The 21790-nt window shown below is 36.2% G+C and overlaps 1 protein-coding gene and 1 long non-coding RNA gene across 6 annotated transcripts in view; both read right to left on the reverse strand.

The window, feature by feature from the left end:
* The window catches only part of TRIM59-IFT80 (TRIM59-IFT80 readthrough (NMD candidate)), a 258294-nt gene that overhangs the window by 40832 nt on the left and 195672 nt on the right, over window positions 1-21790 (reverse strand). For all 3 annotated transcript variants that reach the window (NR_148401.1, NR_148403.1, NR_148402.1), the window contains 7 exons: window positions 17519-17583; window positions 14193-14328; window positions 12382-12529; window positions 10908-11079; window positions 9296-9385; window positions 9021-9193; window positions 128-251 (listed from right to left, as the gene is read on the reverse strand). This is a non-coding gene — a long non-coding RNA (TRIM59-IFT80 readthrough (NMD candidate)). The remainder of the gene's footprint in view (window positions 1-127; window positions 252-9020; window positions 9194-9295; window positions 9386-10907; window positions 11080-12381; window positions 12530-14192; window positions 14329-17518; window positions 17584-21790) is intronic.
* Window positions 1-21790, reverse strand: part of IFT80 (intraflagellar transport 80) — a 142240-nt gene that overhangs the window by 11300 nt on the left and 109150 nt on the right. For all 3 annotated transcript variants that reach the window (NM_020800.3, NM_001190241.2, NM_001190242.2), the window contains 7 exons: window positions 17519-17583; window positions 14193-14328; window positions 12382-12529; window positions 10908-11079; window positions 9296-9385; window positions 9021-9193; window positions 128-251 (listed from right to left, as the gene is read on the reverse strand). In NM_020800.3, the coding sequence (NP_065851.1) occupies window positions 128-251; window positions 9021-9193; window positions 9296-9385; window positions 10908-11079; window positions 12382-12529; window positions 14193-14328; window positions 17519-17583 (908 nt within the window). The remainder of the gene's footprint in view (window positions 1-127; window positions 252-9020; window positions 9194-9295; window positions 9386-10907; window positions 11080-12381; window positions 12530-14192; window positions 14329-17518; window positions 17584-21790) is intronic.

A 21790-nucleotide genomic window follows, 5' to 3' on the forward strand; every position in this document is an offset into this window, starting at 1 on the left:
AAAAAGTAATTCTTTTAGAGGTTAAAAGATTCAAAATTTGAATCATTCACATTTTGTCTCATTAGGATGAATATGACATATACTTATAAAGCATATGTATTATTATACAAAATTGTGAAATACTTACACCTTCTGCATAATGCAAGTATCGTTTATTAGTTTCCTGTTTACCAAATGTCTCCAAAAACTTTTGACGGTAAGCAAGAACTGTATCAACATGTGTTTTGTATTTTACAGCCAATTCCAGTGCCCTATAATGAGAAATAAAACAGATTATTAACATTGTTTGTGTCAGACTCCATGAGTAGTAGAGTTCTGGAGTTGGGGATAAGACAAATGGCTCTTCCCTCTGTTTATTCCACAATATGAAATACCATTTTCTACCTCATCCATCTTGCAAATTCCTACTTATATACTTCAGGGCCCAGATCAAACATGGCCTCTTCTCCCTGACCAGCTCTTCTTGTAGAAATAAATGACTATTATCTTATCTATGCTTCATACCATTTATATATATACTATTATTACAGCACTCCTTATAGTACAATTGTTATGAGTCTTTTTTCTCCACTAGCCAATACACTTATTGAAGGGAGACATTTCTCTTTGGTGAGTAATACAGAGTACATATGTGGTAAATATGCATTGAAAATATTTTTGAGGCTGGGCACAGTGGTTCATGCCTGTAATCCCAGCACTTTGGGAGGCCAAGGTGGGAGGATCACTTGAGGTCAGGAGTTCAAGACTAGCCTGGCCAACATGGCGAAACCCTGTCTCTGCTAAAGATACAAAAATTAGCTGGGCGTGGTGGTACATGCCTGTAACCCCAACTACTCGGGAGGCTGAGGCGGGAGAATCGCTTGAATCTGGGAGGTGGAAGTTGCAGTGAGCTGAGATCGCGCCACTGCATTCCGGCCTGGGTGACAGAGCGAGACTCAAAAAAAAAAAAAAAAAGAAAATATTTTTGAAATCATCCTGTAATTCAAGTGAATGAAATTCCCCACAGTGTAAGTGGTCCCATTATTTTGACCATTTTCATAAGTCTATACTGAGTTTATAAAATTAAAAACTGGTATCTTTACATTATTACTATAGCAAATTAAAAATCTTATGAAAATAACAAATTGAGGCTAAGAAGTCTGAGAAAATGCCTTTTGCCATCTGAGTCTCAGGAAAAGTTGACAGTCATTTAAGTTTTATAATTCAATCAATATTTATGCAAGTTATTTTTAAAGTAATATTTTATTTAAATGGTAGATGATAACTAAATAAATTGCTGCTGAAAACAGTGGTATAAACTAAAGACATAAAATATATACACTGATGATAATTTGTAGGAGAATAAAAAGATTAATCCTCAGTTCCAGGCTTACTTTCACATGTGGGTTTTGGACAGCACCTCAGCCACTGCAATCCTGTGCATAACTCATATTAGTTGAGTCGGGAACAATCCAGTGGACTATAGCTCTCTTACACTGTTCACTGTCATCTTGTTTCAAAATAAGATAACAGTCATCATAATAGTCAAAAGCACATTATTTCTCAAGTTCTCTTGCTTTCTAATATGACATACGACTTCTGAATATTCCAGTCAGGATTTATCAGAGCCAACTATTATAAGTCTGTTGTTTTAGCAAAGCTGACTACTGATTAGATTTTTTGCAACTAGACTCTTCACTAGGAAAATCTGGTTCATTTTTGGCATGCTTTGGTTTGGCTTACTATTTTTTTTTTAGATGGAGTCTCATTCTGCCGCCCAGGCTGGAGTGCAGTGGCATGATTTTGGCTCACTGCAACCTCTGCTGCCAGGGTTCAAGCAATTCTTCTGCCTCAGCCTCCCAAGTAGCTGGGAATACAGGCATCCGCCACCATACCCAATTAATTTTTGTATTTTTAGTAGAGACGTGGTTTCACCACATTGGCCAGGCTGGTCTTCAACTCCTGACCTCAAGTGATCTGCCTGCCTTGGCCTCCCAAAGTGCTGGGATTATAGCTGTGAGCCACCGTGCCTGGCTTGGTTTGCCTTACTATTGATCAAACTAAATAGTCACTTTAAAAAGTATTTTAGACATGGTGTATGTATTGATTGACAACTGATAGACTTTTGAGAGATATTAAACACTTAATATGCAAAAATTATGAATGTAAGTTATATATAATACAAATGGTAATGCCAAAATTGGGCAAAATGATTTCTTATAAATTGACATACACTGTATTGTGAAATCCAAGGGTCAGTATTTGCTACCATCACACATTCTCACAAAATTCCCTCATTCCTCTGTGACCTTACGTCTTTCAGAAAAAAAAACAGGCAGAAAAGAATGTAAAGTTACTAGAATATAGAGGGGAAAAGTGGAAGATAAAGAAGGCAAAAAGCAATTCACGGAGGCTCAAAAAAGGAGAAACAGAAGTAAAGATGCCTCAGTTCTGCTAACCCTCTCCCATATAATCCCCCCATGTATATCCCTAAGGCTCTGATTCCAGTTGTGTATGTGTGAGTGGAGACTGATGAGCTACTTTTTTTTGTCACCTTAGAAGCTCCATCTCCCATTCTTTCTTTATGATTGTACATGATCAGGGAAGGAGATCTTGATTGTGCAAAACTGAAAGTATTCTCAATGGGGAGTACATAAAATCATCCATTCTGGGTTGGAGCTTTTCCAAAATTCCGAATGAGATACTATGGTATGAAACATCAATACATTTAATTATGTAGAAAGAATAGAATATGATGTCTAATCCTGCATTTAGATGCTAGATCCTAAGAATTATCTATCATTGTCATTATTATTATTATAATAAAATATGTATCGATTGAATAGCAATGGCTAAGGGTAAACATTCAAATGATATGTGCTATTTTAAATGTTCTCTAAAAGCACATACTGGGTAAAAAAATGTTTCTTCTCCACATTTAGGAGGGAACTTACTCCAAATTATCTAAGGGTTTTGGGAACAGTATGTCTCTAGTTTTAAAATGGTTATTTGGCAACCAAACAAATGTGACATTAGATTCTAAGGCTGGAATAAATCCATGTATTTTAAATAGAAGGAAGTTATATAAAAAGATGTTATAACTTCAAAATATGATTTTTGCATAACTTGAATGAAGCGAAATCACTTTGTATAACTGAGATCAGAAATTATTTTTATTAATATGCACATAAAGGATTAACATGCATATTTAGAGTTTCTAGTTTCTACCTCTCTTAACTTCAGTTTTTGAGAACAGACTACTACCAAATGTCCAAAGTGGATAGCAAACAGATAACTTGCTTACCTATAACTCTTCAAGAGCTGTACCTTATTAGGTTGCAGGCAATTTTCAAATTCAAACATGAAAGACAGAAGCATAAACCAGCAAGACTATGCTTCTCAAGTGGAATATCACATATGAACAAAACAAAATCTGTTCCCTTCTAGAGGATTTAAACAAATATAGAGATTCAGGGATATTAAAAGCAATCTAATGTATTTAGCATCTAACAAATTCTATCCTTCTGGAATGATAGAATATCACCATTTTGTAAGCTCAAATTAATAGATTTGGGCAATGATCATCAATGGCTACTAACATCACAAAAAATACCATGAAAAACCACTACAGCCAGTCATTACAAAAACATCTAACACTACTATAATGAAGTCTTATCAAAAAAAAAAAAACCTAAATCTAATCAAGTTCCTAGATTCAACAACCAATATGCAACTAATTCAGGGGACAGAGGACTATGTTAAAGTACACCACAAAGATGCAATGTTTGTCCAAAGATCCAATAATGTCCACACTATGGTAAATTCTATAGGTCCAGTTTCTTCAATGGGAAAATTGCAAGAAAACACAAAAAAGAATAGGAGAAGCTATAGATTAAAACAAATTTAAGAACATATCAACCAATCACAGTGTGTGGATCTTTATTGGATTCTGATTCAAACAAACCATAAAACAAAACAAAACACTTATGAGTGAAACAGAGAAATAAGAACAGTGAATATAATTACTGTTTACTTTTGAAGGTATGACTGCAATATTGTGGCTATGTTAAAAAAAATTTAGAGATACATGCTGAAATATTTACAGAAAAAAATGATATAATGATTGGGGTCTGCTTTAAAATAAATGGTAGGGTAAGGGTAGAAATTGTTCACAAATTGATCATTGTCGAAGTGAATGATGGGTACATTCAGACTATTCTCTCTACTTTTGTATGTGTTTGAAATTTTCCATAATAAACAATTTTTTAAAATTCCATCTTTTCATCCCTTCTGATCTCTATTGCTAAATTCTCTTCTTAAAGCACACCCTTAAATATTGGTATTCAGCAGATATCTGCTTGCTGCTCTCTTTTCTTAAGTTTTCGTGATAAACCTCAGCCATACTCATGGCCTCAACTACTGTCTGTAGACTGATAATTCCTTCACTGGCTTTCCCCTCAATGTCTAGGATCTCTCATGAACATTAAACTTGTATATCCCACTCCCTACTGGGCCTTATGAACTGGATGTAGAAATTCAATTAAAGGTAAACAAATTCAAATTGTTAGATAGCTTAACCATTACCTTATACTTGTACAAAAAAATCTACTACAGCTCTGTTCTATACACATATTCAATGTGGGCCTTCCCTGCAGCTAAAGTACATAAACAAATTCAAGCCCTGTGCATAGGTTATATGTAAATACTACGTCATTTTATACGAAGAACTTGAGCATCCCAGATTTTGGTATCCTGGGGGTCCTGGAACCAATCCTTACCCATCTCACGGATACCAAGCGATTACACTTAATTATCTGTTGAATGAATGAATGAATGTGCAGTTGGAACAAATACTCCAAATTGTTTCAGAAATATCTGTAGAACTTAGAAATAAAAACAATATATAAGTTTCCTGAGAGTTTCTTAGCAGCTATAATTACTTTTGCTGAATATTTGCAGTCCTTTCTTATCCAATCTTGATATTTATGCTAAAAGCAATGGGAAACTATGAATTTCACTGAAGTGGGCTTTATTGAAGTGAATCAGAGGTCAAGAGTGATACGACCAGATTTCCATTGTGAAAAGATCACTATGACTGCAGAGTGAAGAATGGGTAGGAAAGAGACAGAGTAGATATAGGGAGATCAGTGATGACATTAAGCAGAAAAACTTGGATCAACTTACGTAATGGTACTAGTAGTGAAGTGGATGAGTGTTAGAGGCATTTGGGAGGGAAATGGTTGATAATAGGGAGGGCGAAGGTGAGGAAAATGTTAAAAGTAACTTCTACGTTTCCAGCTTTGTACAGCTGAAAGAATGATAAGATAAATTAGGCTGGAGGAGGACCAGGTTTATGAGGGAATAAACATAAATTTGAGCTAAAAAATGTGAGATATCTAATGGAAATGTTAAGTAGGTAGTTGGAGAATTGAATTCTGGAAGCAAATATGGGCAGAACAAAAGGCTAGATGAGAGATGCATATTTTGGAGTCTTAAGTGTATAGATAGTGTAGTGTATAAATAATGGTCAGAATCCAGGAACAATGCTCTGGGATCTTTATCATCTTTTCAGGTAGACTCAGAGATCTCTACCAGCACCTGACCAAACCACTGGCTTACAATTAGGTAAAAGCAAGAAACACATGAAAAGGAGATGCCAGGAGATAAGAAGAATGGAGGAGCACCCAGAATTCATTCTCTTTCCTCATTACATCTTCTTTGACCTTCTTGTTTTCCCTCTCCCTGAGATCTAATGATTTCAAGAGAAGGTCCCTTACTGAGAACTGGAAGGTGAAGGGGGGCATGCGGGGAACAGGATATAAGGATAGCAGGGAAAGTTTGAGGTCTCAGCAAAAAATAAGTAGAGACACATGATATAAGCCTTAAAGGACTGGAGATTTTATAAGATAGGGAAGTAAAGATGAGGGAGGCAAAAAGGACACCAACTCCACTCACACTGGATCCTAAGGAATGTAGAGTGGAGAGAATAAATTGACTCCATTTGAGAGGACTGGTAGAGAAGTGGTGTTCTCTTCTCCACCTTCTCTTCCAAATAAAGGTAGGTTTCATTTGGGTCAAGGAGGTACAAGAAATGTTCAGAAGGTTATATTATAGGCCATCAGAGGCAAATTTCCTCACCTTCTTCTGTGATACCTACTCACTCACTGCATGTATCTACACCCAATAAATGTTTGAAGAGGAGGAATGCTGCAAAATGATGAAGAGTATTGCATAGAGAGTAAGGGCATGAATATTAACTACCTACTATGTATAGATAATGTGAAATGTTTCCGCTCTTCAGGAAGTATATAATCTGTAAGAGGAAAGACGATTTAATATCTGCAAATATAAATAAAGAGAGAAATAGTAATCCAGTAAAAACAACATAAGCATGGCCGGGTGCAGTGGCTACGTCTGTAATCCCAGTGCTTTGGGAGGCCAAGGCAGGCAGATCACTTGAGGTCAGGAGTTCGAGACCAGCCTGGCCAACATGGTGAAAGCCCGTCTCTACTACAAGTACAAAAATTAGCCTGTAATCCCAGCTACTTAGGTGGCTGAAGTACGATAATCACTTAAACCCAGGAGGCAGAAGTTGCAGTGAGCCGAGATCGTGCCGCCGCACTCCAGCCTGGATGACAGAGCGAGACTCCGTCTCAAAAAAACCAAAATGATATATGCAATGGTACCAGCCATAGATAATTGATTGCTTAGTGATAAATTGAGCTCTTCTTTGATATTAGACAACTTGGGGGTTCAAATCCTAGATTTTGTGCTTATTTATATGTAAACCTCAATTTCCTCATTTGTAAAATGGGGCTGGTAATATCTAAACTTCTGGAGTTGCTGAGATAACCTAACGACATGATATATAGCAAGTGTCTAGCACAGTTAATTCCTAGCACATCATAACCACTGAATAAGTGGAGGCCAGTGTTTAGAAGTACTATTTCAACCTCTGTATGTTCCCACTAAACATTAGTATGTGGGTCATTTTTTATTCTTTAGATGGAAGTTTTTTTTTACAGAATTGATGTACTGAACCGTATCAATCTAAAAGGAGGAATGCTGCAAAATGATTATTAATGGTCACCAAGCAGTTAATTATGTACTGCTGGTACCATTGTTTATATTGTTTTTACTGGATTACTGTTTATCTCTCTAATTATTTATCTTTGCAGATATTTATGTTATCTTTCCCCTTATGGATTATATGCTTCCTGAACAGCAGAAACATTTTACATTACCTTTACATAGTAGGTAGTTAATATTCATTCTATGTGCAATACTCTTCATCATTTTGACATTTGACTATTATTAATGACAACGAAATGGAATTCCTAATTAGGTTACAAGCTTTTTAAGATAAAGACCATTACCTTAAATTTTTTTTTGTTAAATTGTACAGTATTCAGAATGCTATAGCAAGAGTAGTGTCTACGATTTCAACATATTTTTTCAAAAACACTGGTCAAAAGAATGCTATAAACACAATTCTTCCCCATTTCTCTATTAGCTGGGTAATGATACATATAATTTTCTATAAGTTATTTAACATAAAATTTAAAAAATATTCACACTGTCTAAACTAGTTACCTTAAACTTTATGAATTATGAATAAATTCAGGACAAAGACAATGGCTTATTTATTTATTTATTTAGATGGAGTCTCGGTCTGGTCGCCCAGGCTGGAACTCCCAGGTTCAAGCAATTCTCCTGCCTCAGCCTTCTGAGTAGCTGGGATTACAGGCGTGTGCCACCATGCCCAGCTGCTTTTTTTGTATTTTTAGTAGAGACAGTGTTTCACCATATTGGCCAGGCTGGTCTCAAACTCCTGACCGTGTGATCCGCCTGCCTCAGCCTCCCGAAGTGTTGGGATTACAAGCATGTGAGCCACTGTACCTGGCAGCCTATTTATTTTTATAGAATGAAAAACATCTTTCATGATCCTTTGTACAGATAAACAATGAATTTGTGTTAATAAGGGACAAAAATAGAGTAGCTAAATTATATGAATAGTATAGATCATTAGCCATAAATTAAATAAGGAGACTACAGTATGTCAATCATAAAATTAACCATCTGCCATTTTTGTTACTTTTAGTCAAGGGAAAGACAGAGATAAAATATCTATAGAAATTCTAATCTAAGGAAGTTTAACTAAAGAGCCTTGTAATTGACAGATACAGGGGTTATTTTTCAGCCCAGGCAGAAACAAAGATCATGAAAGACACTTCAAACCTGGAAAAATATGTCAATTCCACAACAAACTACATCAGGAGTACATAAAAACTATAGTTTTGTTCACTGGGAGACATGTACCTGAGAGAATGAGTGGGAGGAACCTCTTATGTCACAGAGAAGAGCAGCATGCCACTTTGCCTCAGAAAGCAATCTGTCCGAGAGCCTAATGTAAGGCTGTTGATTGCTGTTGACCAATCCTTTCCTCTTTCTTCCTTAGTACTACACATCTCTCTTGGTTCTTTTCTCTGCCTGTCCGACTGCTTTATGGAATAACATTTGGTGTCTTTCTTTCCTTTCATCCATCTCATAATGTAGCGGATGTCTTTTCATTCCACACATTCCCCAGGCAATTGCATCCATTTCTCTTGCTTCAACTACTATCCATTTGCTAATGACTCCTAAATCTAAACCTCTAGTTCAGATATTTCTTATGAGCTCCAGGTCCATTTAATCAACGATTATAACTTTTTGCGAGTATTTCAAATTCAACTTGGCTAAAATGAAACTCAATATCTTCCCTATCAAATCTGCAAATGGTATGGTGTCATGATCTCTCCAGTTGCTAAAACCAAAAATTTAGGAAACACCCTAGCCTCTCTTCTTCACACCCCAACTTTTAATCAGTCAAAAGTTCAGAGAAGAAATAAATTGTAAACTATTCACAAATATGAATATGAATAAATTCTTCTGTGGTGTTAAGAAACTAAAATATAGTGGAAAATGTAATTTACTAAGTGGTAGATGGAAAAATACATTAAGGTCAAACAGATTTTGGAACTGATGGAAAGCATTCTTATTACCTTTCCCAGTTGTAGAGATTAATATTGATCTGGATTGCTTGATAAACAAGGCCAGCCTGAAGAAGTACTATTTCAGCCTCCTGTATGTTCCCACTAAACAGTAGTATGTGGGCCATTTTTGATTCTTTAGATGGAAGATTTTTTATAGAATTGATGTACTGAACCTTATCAATCTAAAAAAGAAAAGAAAAATATTGAAGTAGATAGTAACAGAAATATAATAAATTACGCTAAGAAAAAACACATGTACATATATGTAAACATTAATTACTTACTTCACCAATTGCTGCATAGGCTATTTCTGCAGTAGTCATATCTCGATTAGCAACTGCCATAGCAGCTAGACAAGCCCACATGGTTTGCTCCTAAAGTAAAGTATGAGAACAATTATCTTAACTATGTGACTGAACTGCCTTAAAATAAGCAGTGATTTAAATACTCATACTAAAATGATATTTTAATTTAAAAAATAAAAATTACTGAGCAGGGCATTAAAAAAAACTAATAATGTGGGAATTTCATTGTGGCCATTTTGTTAAAATATATTAATACACAGAAAACTTTTGAATGAAATTTTCAATTTTGAGTTATTAAGGATTTATTTCTGAATTTAAAATAATAACTCAAGGTTATAAACCTTCCAGTCTTTTTGACGAGGTGTCAAAAAATGTAATTTATAGGGAACCAAAGAAATAGTGAAGTTCTCAGACAATGATATTATGGTAGATTGCTACTGATATACCAGTTAAGAAGAAATTACTTAGGCAGATAGTGAGGGTACAGAAGTCCTTTACGATAAGGTTTTCCTTTTAATGAAAAGCAGCCCCCAAATCATTTTCTTTTCTAACAAAGAGCAGCCTGTAAAATAGAGCTGCAGATATAAACAAGCAAGCTGGAAGCTTGCATGAGTGAATGCCAGTAGTTGTGCCCATAGCAATATGCTACCTGGGACTGGGGATGTTCAAACAGCAGCTCCATCTTCTCTTTTTGCCAGCCATCTGTACAGTAAGGAGTATACAAGATGGCACTGGCCAGGTGGAAAGTCTATTTGCATAATAAGATTAGGGTGGGGCAACCAGCCTTCCCTGTGCTATGTAAATGTCACACCTGGTCAAACCAATCTGTGAGCACTATGTAAATCAGACACGGCCTCCTCAAGCCTGCCTATGAAATCTGCTGCAGTCCACCACTTTTCCCTTTTTGGATTCCTCTCTCTGGCAAGGAGCTGCTCTCCTCTCTCCTTTCTTCTGCCTATTACGCTTTCCACTCCTTAACCTACCCACATGTGTCCGTCCTTGATTTTCTTGGTGTGAGATGACAAACTCCGGGTATTTACCCCAGACAATGATGCTATTCACCACCAACAACCCATTGTTAAAAAAAGCATCTAAAAGTCATTTCACAAAAGTGTATTCTAAGGAATGTTCACTGATGTTCAATAAAAAAGGTCTATGGTCAAACATGTTTGAAAAATACTAGATTCAACCAAGTTGGAAAAAGGCTGATCGAAAGCAGAGATTCTTAACCTTAGCTGTACAAAACAATCATCTGAGGAAATTAAAAAATATGCCCAGGACTCAATCCAGATATAATGAATTAGAATCTCTACGGGAGTAGAACTTGGGAACCTGACTTTCAGAAAACTTCCACAGAAGATTTTTATATGTGCCAGTATGGAAAAACAGTTTAAATTTTTATAGCGTCTTCAGAGAATAAATCACACAGCAACATGTATTCCTCTGTATTGCCCATGTCTTTACTTATAAAAAAAGACATGATCTTATTCACAATTTTTCCAGCCTTTAAGCCTATTATCATTACTCATTTTGCACAAAGGTAAACTACTATGAAATATATATACAACTATGAATCTAAAATGTAAATTACCTTAACAAAGCGACAAAGTCTCACAGCATCTTCCCATTTTGAACTGCTTACATATTCATGGAGAATAGCAGGATATGGTGTTATGCTGATGTGAACCAGGGAGCCATCAGCTCTTCTAATAGTTACTTGATTTCCAACAAAACTCACAATATGGGGATTTTTACTAAATTCACTGTTGAAAAAAAAAGCAAAGTACAATTTAAAGTTGTATTCTGAGCAAAATTTTTCATGTATATTAAATTTGGGGAGTGGACCGTGAAATACACACGGAGTCTCCAATCTCCAAAAGGCACACCCCCAAAGGTTAACTCCAGGGAGAATGTATATGTTCAAAAAAAATTTCAATGTATTTATTTGAATACATATTCTCCCTGGAATTAACTTTGAATGTAAACATTTGAATATAACTTGCTATATAAAGTAGCAAAAATTATTACATATTTGAGAGCTATTCCTAAGAGCATTTGAAATCATCTTTTTTTCCGAGGCTTAAGATAAATCACAACAATAATTTATATAGCTTTAGCTTTTAAAAGTATTAAAGGGTAAAACAATAAAAAGTAAACCAAATTCCAAGACTATTTTCTCAGAATAAAAAGAGGTGAGCCAGGCACAGTGGCTCACACCTGCAGCCTTAACTACTTGGGAAGATCACTTAAGCCCAGGCTGCAGTGAGCCATGATTACACCACTGCATTCCAGCTTTGGCAACAGAGTGTGACCTTGACTCTAAAAATAAATAAGTAAAAAGAGATGACCTTTAAATAAAAAGACTAATTTTTTTTCATTAGTCCAAATACTTTTAAAAATACGCTGTTTTATTTTGATGCCTCTCTGGTTTTGTTAAGGTTTTGAATTTGAATACTAAAAACAAACTCAAAACAGATTTGAAAACTAAGCTAAGGTCTAGAATTAAGAAGCCTTTGTATTCCTATTTTGTCAAGAATAAGAGATCTCCTTGCTATTTCTTAGAGAATTTAGGAATATAAATGGTTTGATTTTCTGAAGCATATAAATTTTTAAAAATTTCAGTAACTTTGGTCTTTTCCTACTTTTAATATCAACCAAAAATTCAATTCTAGAGACATTTACATTCTTGAAAGTGTTAACGTCAATGATAATCTGTGACAGCGTTGGGTAGTTGTCACAAGGTTGTGCATCCTGAAAAATCTTAAAGAGTGCCTAGACTAAAATCACTTGATCACACTGAGAAAACTACCTGAGCTACCATTACACAATATTAAGCTTGAAAATTATATTCATATAAGGGACAAATAAATAATTCATATCATACCACACTTTCAACTTGATTCTGTCACTTAAGTCTCAAGCTAGCTTTAGCCGAACAATTTATTCATCAATAAATCTGACTGATGTGTAAAACACCTTGCAGGATTGAAAATAGAAGCCAAAACATGATACTCTATTAGAGTTTTATTTACTACAAAACAGAATTATACGCAGTAAAATGTTACCTTGCATCCCTTTCATATAATGTTTTAGGCAAAATGTCTCTGTCCACATAAACTGTATTGGGGTAATACCACACTATAAATCGAGTATCTTGAAGTCCACAAAGGATATTGCATGTATCGTTCCATGCCAAAGTATGCACCATTGTTCCTTAATTTAAAAAGAATGTTAATGTGCTATTAGCTTTAATATGTAAGAATTAAAAATAGATCTTTAAAATGCCTGACAAACAAAATCCCATACAATTTCTGGTAGATATGACTCTACTTTCTGATTCTATAATGGTGAAAAACACATACCAAACAATCACACAAGAATTTACAGAAATATTTGAATGCTTTACTTAGAACCCTTATATTTTTAATCTGTAAATCTTTCTTTCAGTGACAATTTAGCTGCAGCAGCTAAAGACTTGCTAATAAGTTAATCCTCTTGCCCTCAGGCCATCAAGCTCCAGATGATCCTCAGTGAGGAATACCGTCCCCTCAATATTCAAGAGTCACTCTTCTACAGGGGACCCCTAGTCTGCCCATCAGTGGGACATGACAGAGGTGAAGTCCTCCCTTGTCTCCCTTGGACCTAGCTGCATACTGCTTTCACCAACCCACGGAGCCACCCTGCCCTGACAGCTAGCAAGAGGCCAAGATCCACAGAATAACCACCATTGCCCCTCTGTCAGCAGGAAGCAGTTACAGAAGACTGACTTTTGTCCATTTTCCCCATAGAATTGGGGTCTTGGACTCTTGAGGGTGGAAATGTTACAGCAGGTAGTCAGGCAGACATGAGCAAGTCAGGAGAGGCCCCTGCCACCAGCACCAGGAATGTCAGGTGACCATCAGGTGATGGTCAGGCTGTTGTTAAGCTGTCTCTCTAAAATAATAATTGGTTGCAGCCAGTGCCAGGGAAAGGTAGTCTCTCAATATAAACACTGAAACTGGAAATCAGTAGCTTCTCAATAAGATCTCAAGAGCTAGGTGAGTGGGCTCACACATGACTAACAGGCAAAATGGTGGAGGAGTTTAACTGGTATACAAACTTCCTCTAGAAACACTGGAGTGGTAAGGGAAAAACGCCTCAAGTGAGCATGTGTATAACTTTAGTAAACACACTGTGCATGTGGCCCCTCCCAGGTGTTGGCAGGCCACTATGCATGTGGACAGCCCACCCAAGGGAAGAATTAGGGCAGAAGGGTTGCAACTCCCCAGAAGCATGCCAAAGTATAAAACCCCAAGTCAAAGATCAAACAGTGCACTTGATCTCTCAAGCTGCCTGCTTGCCCTCTACCAAGTTTACTTTATTTCCTTTCTTTCCTGCTCTAAAGCTTTCAAATAGGCCAGGCCCAGTGGCTTACGCCTGTAATCCCAGCACTTTAAGAGACTGAGGCAGGTGGATGGCTTGAGCTCAGGAGTTCGAGACCAGCCTGGGCAACATGGTGAAACCTTGTCTCTACCAAAAATACAAAAAAATTTAGCTGGATGTGGTGGCACATGACTGTAGTCCTAGCTACTTGGGAGGCTGAGGCAGGAGAATCACTTGAGCCCAGGAAGCGGAGGTTTTGGTGACCTTGATCTTGCCACTCCACTCCAGCATGGGTGACAGAGTGAGACCCTGTCTCAATAAAACACAATAAAAATTTAAAAATAAAGCTTTTTAATAAACTTTCACTCCTACTTTTTTAAAAAAAGGGTTAAATAGCTAAGAAGTATTACAAGATCAAAACATTAAAACATTTCCAGATTCATTCAAATTATTTATTACAGCAAATATAAGAAAGTTGACAATTAAAACTTAAAATGTATTAAAATTATTTTACCAAGCTTGATAATTTGTTCTTCCTTCCCAAATCGTTTCACAGAAGTGATACAGAGATCTCTATTTTTATCAATGAAAGCAATTTTTCTATCATTGGTAAGTCCTTTTTGATCCAGAGCAATTTCCAAGATTTCATTCTAAAATTTTTTTTAAATGTAAATACTGGGTTAGTTTTAGTGTTTGACATAAGATCATTTTAATTAATTATAAAATCATTTCCTTTAAGATCAATTAAATGTCATTTCCCCATTTATAATGATAAAATGTCCCTGTTAAATAATTTTAAACTGCCAATATGTTAATCGTTCAAAAGCTGCACTGAAGTATATTTGCCTGACATCCAAGGAAAAGATACCTCTTAAAATACAATAAAATAATATGTATTTTGATATTCTGTAGGCTGAGAAACACTCGATCTGTCCTGTCCTACCTTTCGTAGTCAAGGTGAAAGGGTCAGGCAATTCTGAGTATCATATGAGAGGTCTATTTTGATTAATAAGTTGCCTAACAACTATATCTTAAATATTTGTAAAAAAAATTTTGGAAATATGTGGAAATACATCATGTGTCCAGGGCCTTAAATTCTATAGATTCTCTCACATTCATTCTTGCAAAATAGGAAACAAGCTTGTAATGTAGGTATTACTATACTTACTTTGCAAATCAGAAGACTAGACTCATATTCACTAAGTGATTTTGCTCAGAAAAAGCCAGTGTCAAGTATATCTAAACTTGCAACTCAGACTTCTAACTCCAAGATCACTGCTTTTCATTTGCTAGTGAGATGAATTTTACTATAACTTGAAAATGTTTTAATATAGATTCATTTTAATTCAAACCAAGCAAGATTTATTTACCTCCTACAATGTCTGAAGACTTTGGTAGGAATTGTGAATTCAACCAGAATAATGACTACAACATCAAGTCATTGTATCAAAATGTACTATAAAAAACACTTTTTAAAGTAAAACAAAACACACATACACCTTTATCCAAATTGATGAATCAGTCATATACCAGTTCATAATACATTTTAAAAAGTTCAACTCTTTCTGGAATACCATAATTTATATTTTAAGAAAGAAAAGAATTTGGTTTCATATATATCAAGGCATGCATGAAATATAACTCTAGGTATTTTCAAAATGGAAATGTTTCAGAGAAACTGATCTTTACAATAAAGAATTGCTTATCATCGTCATCATCATCATCAGAACCTAGTGTATTCTTTTAAAAACACTGTTAAACAGATATGATTCTCCTAAGAAATTAAAAATCAAAGATGGATAGTAATTATAGTAATGCCTATGTACATAGGGGAAGAGGGGCTCCCCCACTTCATTCAGCAGGGCTTCCCCCATTTTCCTCTTGTCAAGTCCTACCACCTCCACATAGGTTCTATTCCTCCTGGGTTACTCTTTGTAGTGGGACATAAAAGCAGTTTTGTGTTCATTAGAACCGTCTCCCTTGCCCTACACTAATTAATATTCATTTACTAATACACAGACTTGAGTTCTAGTTTGGGCTCTGTTATTGGGAAGATCCTGGATATGAATTTCTTCCACATATAAAATAAAATAGATTGGGTGATTTTTCTATTATTTTATAGAATGTAAAATTTAAAAATCCTTTGTATTGCATACAAATGTACTGGGTAATTGGGTGAAGTGTGACATGTAGAAGACACTTCCATTCTTATAATTAGGAAATTATAAATTTCTTAATTTTAATTGTAAATTAAATTATTTTAATTGTAAATTAGGAAATTCTTACACTTAGGAAAAGTGTTATAGAAAGAGTTATAACATTAAAATAAATATTTAAGCTTATTAATTGACTCTCCTTTCAATCCTACTAACAAAAATGACTGCATCTTGAAAAGCTGAGACATTTACTCCTTTTGATATGCTTAATCTTACTGAAGAGGAAAAACTCTGCTTATATAGCTTGGATTAAAAATGACAATAACGGAGAGGTTATAGGGAAATAAGCACCTCATATATTACCAGTGCAAAGGTAAACTCATACACTCTCTTTGGAAGATAACTTCACAATACTTATTAAAATTACAAATTCTCATATCCTTTGACCCAGCAACAATATTTCAAGAATAAATTTCACAGTTACACTAGCACATGTACAAGAAGATGTATATGCAAGGTAATTCATCTTGGCAATACTGTAATACTAACGGCAAAAGATTGGAAACAGTTTAAATTCTGATACATACATAAAATGTTATACCATACAGTGGGAGGAAAAAGGGTTGGGAAAGCACTTTATGTATAGATATGGAACTATCTCCAGAAAGACAGTATTATATGAAAAAAGCAAAGTGTAAAATTGTTTGTTACATTTTTGTAAAGGGGAGGAAGAGAACATATATCAGTTTTGTTGATACATACACTAAAAATCTCTGGAAGAATATATAAGAGATTAATAATAATGGTAACTTATTTGGTGGAGAGGCACTACAGTGATGAATAATAGGTATAGTAGGGAGACTAACACTGTATACTTTTTAATGCTTTTTGATTTCTGAACCATATGAATGTATTTGTTATTCAAATTTAAAACTAGGGCCAGGCATGGTGGCTCACATCTGTAATCCTAGAACTTTGGGGGTCTGAGGCGAGTGGATTGCTTGAGCTCAGGAGTTCGAGACCAGCCTGGGCAACATGGCGAAACCCTGTCTCTACCAAAAACAAACAAACAAAAAAACTAATAATTACAAAAATAAATATATAATTTTGAGTAACAGTTCACTAGAAGTATTAATAAAACTAAAAGTGTCTTTAGACCCTAATATATCAGCAATTTAGAAGGATAACTCAATGCAATGTGCTTCTTTTTCTAAGGCTAAAAATCAGAAACCAATAAACAACTTACAATTCAGGGTCTTTTGTACTTTGTATAGCGATTTCTTACTACAGTCTTAAAACCTAAAGAAAATGCTGGCTAAGAACAGGTCAATGAGAAAACTGCAAGATACTTAGAAACACAAATACATTTTTATTTACTGGTAAGTGCTAAAATTTTAATCAAAAAAGAACATGTAACTGAAAAACAGTGAAGAGTTTGACAACAGACATATAAGTCAGATCCTTTTTTTCAACTAATTTGCATGTATAGCTTCCTATCACAAACTTTACCAGTGCTTAGTCTTTAACTGTGACATCTTTAGGCAAAATAGTCAATGGAGAATGCACATTGATTTTAAATAAAAAACTAATTCCTTTGTGTCCTCTTTAAAATGAAAACATTAATTTTGAAAAGGAAATAAATAAATAGTGGCTATTTACATTAGAAGTAGTTAATGTCCATTACCTTATGAGAAAGAAACTTTCCATCACCTAACGGCTTTCCGGTTGATGCCTCAAAGAGGAAGATTACTTGAAAAAAAGTAGAACATTAATTAATGTGTTATATTAGAATTTTTACTGGTAAAATTCAGTGAAACTATTATAATCCTTATAAGAAATTATTTAACTCTCTAGACCACAGAGAGAGCAGCAGCATCCAATTTTAATTTATTAATGTGGTCACATTTCTTATGAAAACAATAAAACTGAATACTTCTTCCTAAAACACATTCCCTAATTAGAATTTTTATTAATGGTATGGCATTAATGCTCCACAGGCTCACAATGGGAAGTCCAAATGTGAATGTAATTTATAATTCTGATAACTTTGATTTAAACTAATATAACACCATAGTGTAGAGGCCAAAGGAAAACTTCCTCTTTGTCCTTTGAAGGTTAACTGAAAATCAACTCACAAAAGGCAGATTAATAGGAGAAATGGCATACAAATTTATTAGCTTGCATGGGGGAGAATCAGAGAGTGATTACCCTACCATACAATGGGGTGCAGATGGTTAAAAGCCACTTCTTCCCCTTCTTAAGGGAAATGGAGATGGGGAAGTGTGGATGGTTTTTAGAACGGGTAGTAAATGATTTCTAGGGGAATTCAGTGGGCATGAAGAACATACAGTGGCCTGGAACAGTCTGTTGGGCCCACAGAGCACACAATGGTTTGTGACAAAAGTCTGCCCAGGTGTGTTGACAGCTTTCTGTATTTCTTCCTGCAATATGAGTTTAGTTAAGGAAAACTCAGGGAAGGGACCAGAGGGAATTGTTGTCTTCTTTGGTGGGTCTGAAGTTGAGGCAGATAAGGGAACTTCAGCACAGCATGTCAAAGCACCATATTTTGGGGTATCAGTTTCTAAGCCCCAACAATAGACCATCATATTCCGCAAAGGAAAAACATGTTGAATGTCTACTATAATGCCAGGCAACGTGTTATGTGCTACTCAGTTTTCTGTTATTAATATGCTACTCTGGTACAATCAATAATTTATCTGGTCTTTGTCCTGGAGCTTCAAAAACCCTGAGAATTTCCTGAGTGATTAGAGTATCTTTATTATTGCTAGTGAGGAGACTCTTGGTGGGCCCCTAGATAGCTTCAGGATAGGGGCTGATAATCAGATCAAGCATGTGGTTAGAAGGTCTGAACTTTCAGGTTCCCAGTCTCTGGAGATGGGAAGCAGGCTGCAGACTGGTTCATCATGTGGGCAATGATTTAATTAACCATGCCAATGTAATAAAACCCCATACAAATTCTGAACGCCAAAGCTCAGCGGAGCTTCCTGGTTAGTGAACACACTGATGAGCTGGGAAGGTGATGTGTCCTGAGAGAAGAGGGCACAGAAACTCTGTGTCTATCCTTTATAATAAAACTGTAATAATAAGTATAGCTTTCCTGAGTTCTGTGAGTCATTTTAGTGAATTATCGAACTTGAAGGCATTGTGGGAACCCCAGAATTTACAGCCAGTTGGTCAGAAAAGTAGGCAGCTGCAGTGGGGCTGGGGGAGCCTTAGACTTGTGGCTGTCATCTGAAATAGGAGCAGTCTTGTGGAAGACTGCCCTTAAGCTTTGGTGTCTACATTAACTCCGGGTAGTGTAGAAATGAATTGCAGTATACCCAGTGGAGGTGAAAATGGAATAGTTGGTATCAGGTTACTGAAACATATGGTTTGGGAAGAGAAAGGATGAAAGGGCAGGGGATGAAGAACTTCTGATTCCTCCATGGCCATGGGGTCACCCAGGGTATGAAACACCAGCTATGCTGCAATCAGTTATTGGAGGTAAAAGTTACCAGTGAAATTTAGAGATGATGCATATATCTTCTGGGGAACTGGCTCACTAAATGCATAGGAAAATGCAAAACAGTAAGAAAAAAGAGAAATATACAATCTCTTGGTAATTACTATCTATAATATAATAGCTAAAAATGAAAGGAAGAGATGAATCAAATATAAATTCTGGCCAGTCTAAATTATGGCCTCTAGTCTCAGGGCCCCTACTGAAGGAATGAATGTGTTGGGAAAGATATTGGATTCTTGCCAGTTCAAGGAACAGGCACTAGCCTCAGAGTCATTTTCAAAGGAAAAAGTTATGCTGAAACAAATCATGAAAAAGACTAAAATGATCCCTAAGAGAATAGGGACAGACAGAGGGAAGTGTCTAGAAACTCATCCAAACTGGGAAAAAAATCTTTAAACAGTTATTAAGAAATACAGCGCAGTCTGGGCGCAGTGGCTCACGCCTGTAATCCCAGCACTTTGGGAGGCCGAGGTGGGTGGATCACAAGGTCAGGAGATCGAGACCATCCTGGCTACGATGTCTCTACTAAAAATACAAAAAATTAGCCAGGCGTGGCAGCCTGCGCCTGTAGTCCCAGCTACTCAGGAGGCTGAGGCAGGAGAATGGCGTGAACCCGGGAGGCGGAGCTTGCAGTGAGCCGAGCTCACACCACTGCACTCCAGCCTGGGTGACAGAGCGAGACTCCGTTTCAAAAACAAAAAACAACAAAAAAAGAAAATACAGCAAACAAAACTATAAAAACCCTGGAAGACAACCTAGGCAATACCATTCTGGACATGGGAACAAGGAAAGATTTCATGGCAAAGATGCCAAAAGCAATCGCAACAAAAGCAAAAATTGACAAATAGAATCTAATTAAACTTAAGACCTTCTGCACAGCAAAATAAACTATCAACAGAGTAAACAGACAACCTACAGAATAGGAGAAAATTTCTGCAAACTGTGCATCTGACAAAAGTCTAATATCCAACATCTATAAGGAACTTAACAAATTTACAAGAAAAAAAACACTAAAAACTGGGCAAAGGACAGGAACAGACATTTAAAAGAAGATATACATGTGGCCAACAAACATATGAACAAAATAGAGAAATACAGATCAAAACCACAATGAGATACCATCTCACACCAGTCAGAATGGCTATTATTAAAAAGTCAAAAAATAACAGATGCTGGTGATTTGTGGAGAAAAGGGAATAGTTTTACACTGTTGGTGGGAAGGTAAATTAGTTCAATCATTGTGGAGAGGAGTGTGGCAATTCCTGAAAGAGCTAAAAACAGAACTACCATTCAACCCAGCAATCCCATTACTGGGTGCATACCCAAAGGAATATAAATCAGTTTACCATAAAGACACATGCATGCGAATGTTCACTGCAACACCTATTCACAATGGCAAAGATATGGAGTTAACTTAAATGCCCATCAATAACAGATTTGATAAAGAAAATGTTGTACATATAGACTATGGAATACTGTGCAGCCATAAAAAAAATGAGATCATGTTCTTTGTGGGAACGTTGATGGAGCTGGAGGCCATCATCCTTAGCAAACTAATGCAGAAACAGAAAACCAATTACCACATGTTCACACTTATAAGTGGGAGCTAAATAATGAGAACTCATGGACACAAAGAGGGAAACAGAGACTGGGGGCTTGAGGGTGAAGAGTGGGAGGAGGGAGAGGATCAGAAAAAATAATTATTGGGTACTAGGCTTAGTAACTAGGTGATAAAATAATCTGTACAACAAACCCCTATGACACAAGTTTACCTATGTAACAAACCTGCACATGTACCCTGAACCTAAAACAAAAGTTTTATTTGGTTGTTTTTTAAAGAAACGAGGTGAAAAAGCAAACGCTGATGGGGGTAAAATGAAAGGGAAAGAGAAAGGGGAGAGTCAAGGGACTCATCATAGCAGGGTGGAAGTCTGAAATCAAAACACAGAGGTTGGGTGGACCAATGCGGCGGTCCTGCTAGTGCCCCAACATTTAAGAGTGCTAAGCAAATCTGCTTTATTCATCTTAGTTTGGAAGAATTTGGAAAGCAGAAAGGCAAAGATGGCAACAAGAAACCTGACCTTCAATTACCTGGAGCAATGGTCTACCAATTTAATCAAGAAAAAGATTCAGGAAAGAGCCTGGGTTCCTTGGCTCAATTCTGAGCTGGGGACCCAACACCTTAAGCACGTGAGTAGGCAAAATGGACACGGGGTGGAGAGGAGAAGACTCTAGACACCTTGACGCAGAAGTGCCATGTACTTTGGTCCAAAACCCCCTGGTGAAGCCCTAAAGGAGACTACAATTAAATTGAGAGGGTACAGAAGTGCAAGGGTTGGTAGAATTAAGGTGAAAGTTTGAATGAAAACTGGAGAGTTTGAACAGACTTTATGTGAACAGGCTGTGTCTCCTTTACCTGAATGTTTCATGGGA

Source organism: Homo sapiens, chromosome 3 (genome assembly GCF_000001405.40).
Source record: "Homo sapiens chromosome 3, GRCh38.p14 Primary Assembly".
Taxonomy (NCBI): Eukaryota; Metazoa; Chordata; class Mammalia; order Primates; family Hominidae; genus Homo; species Homo sapiens.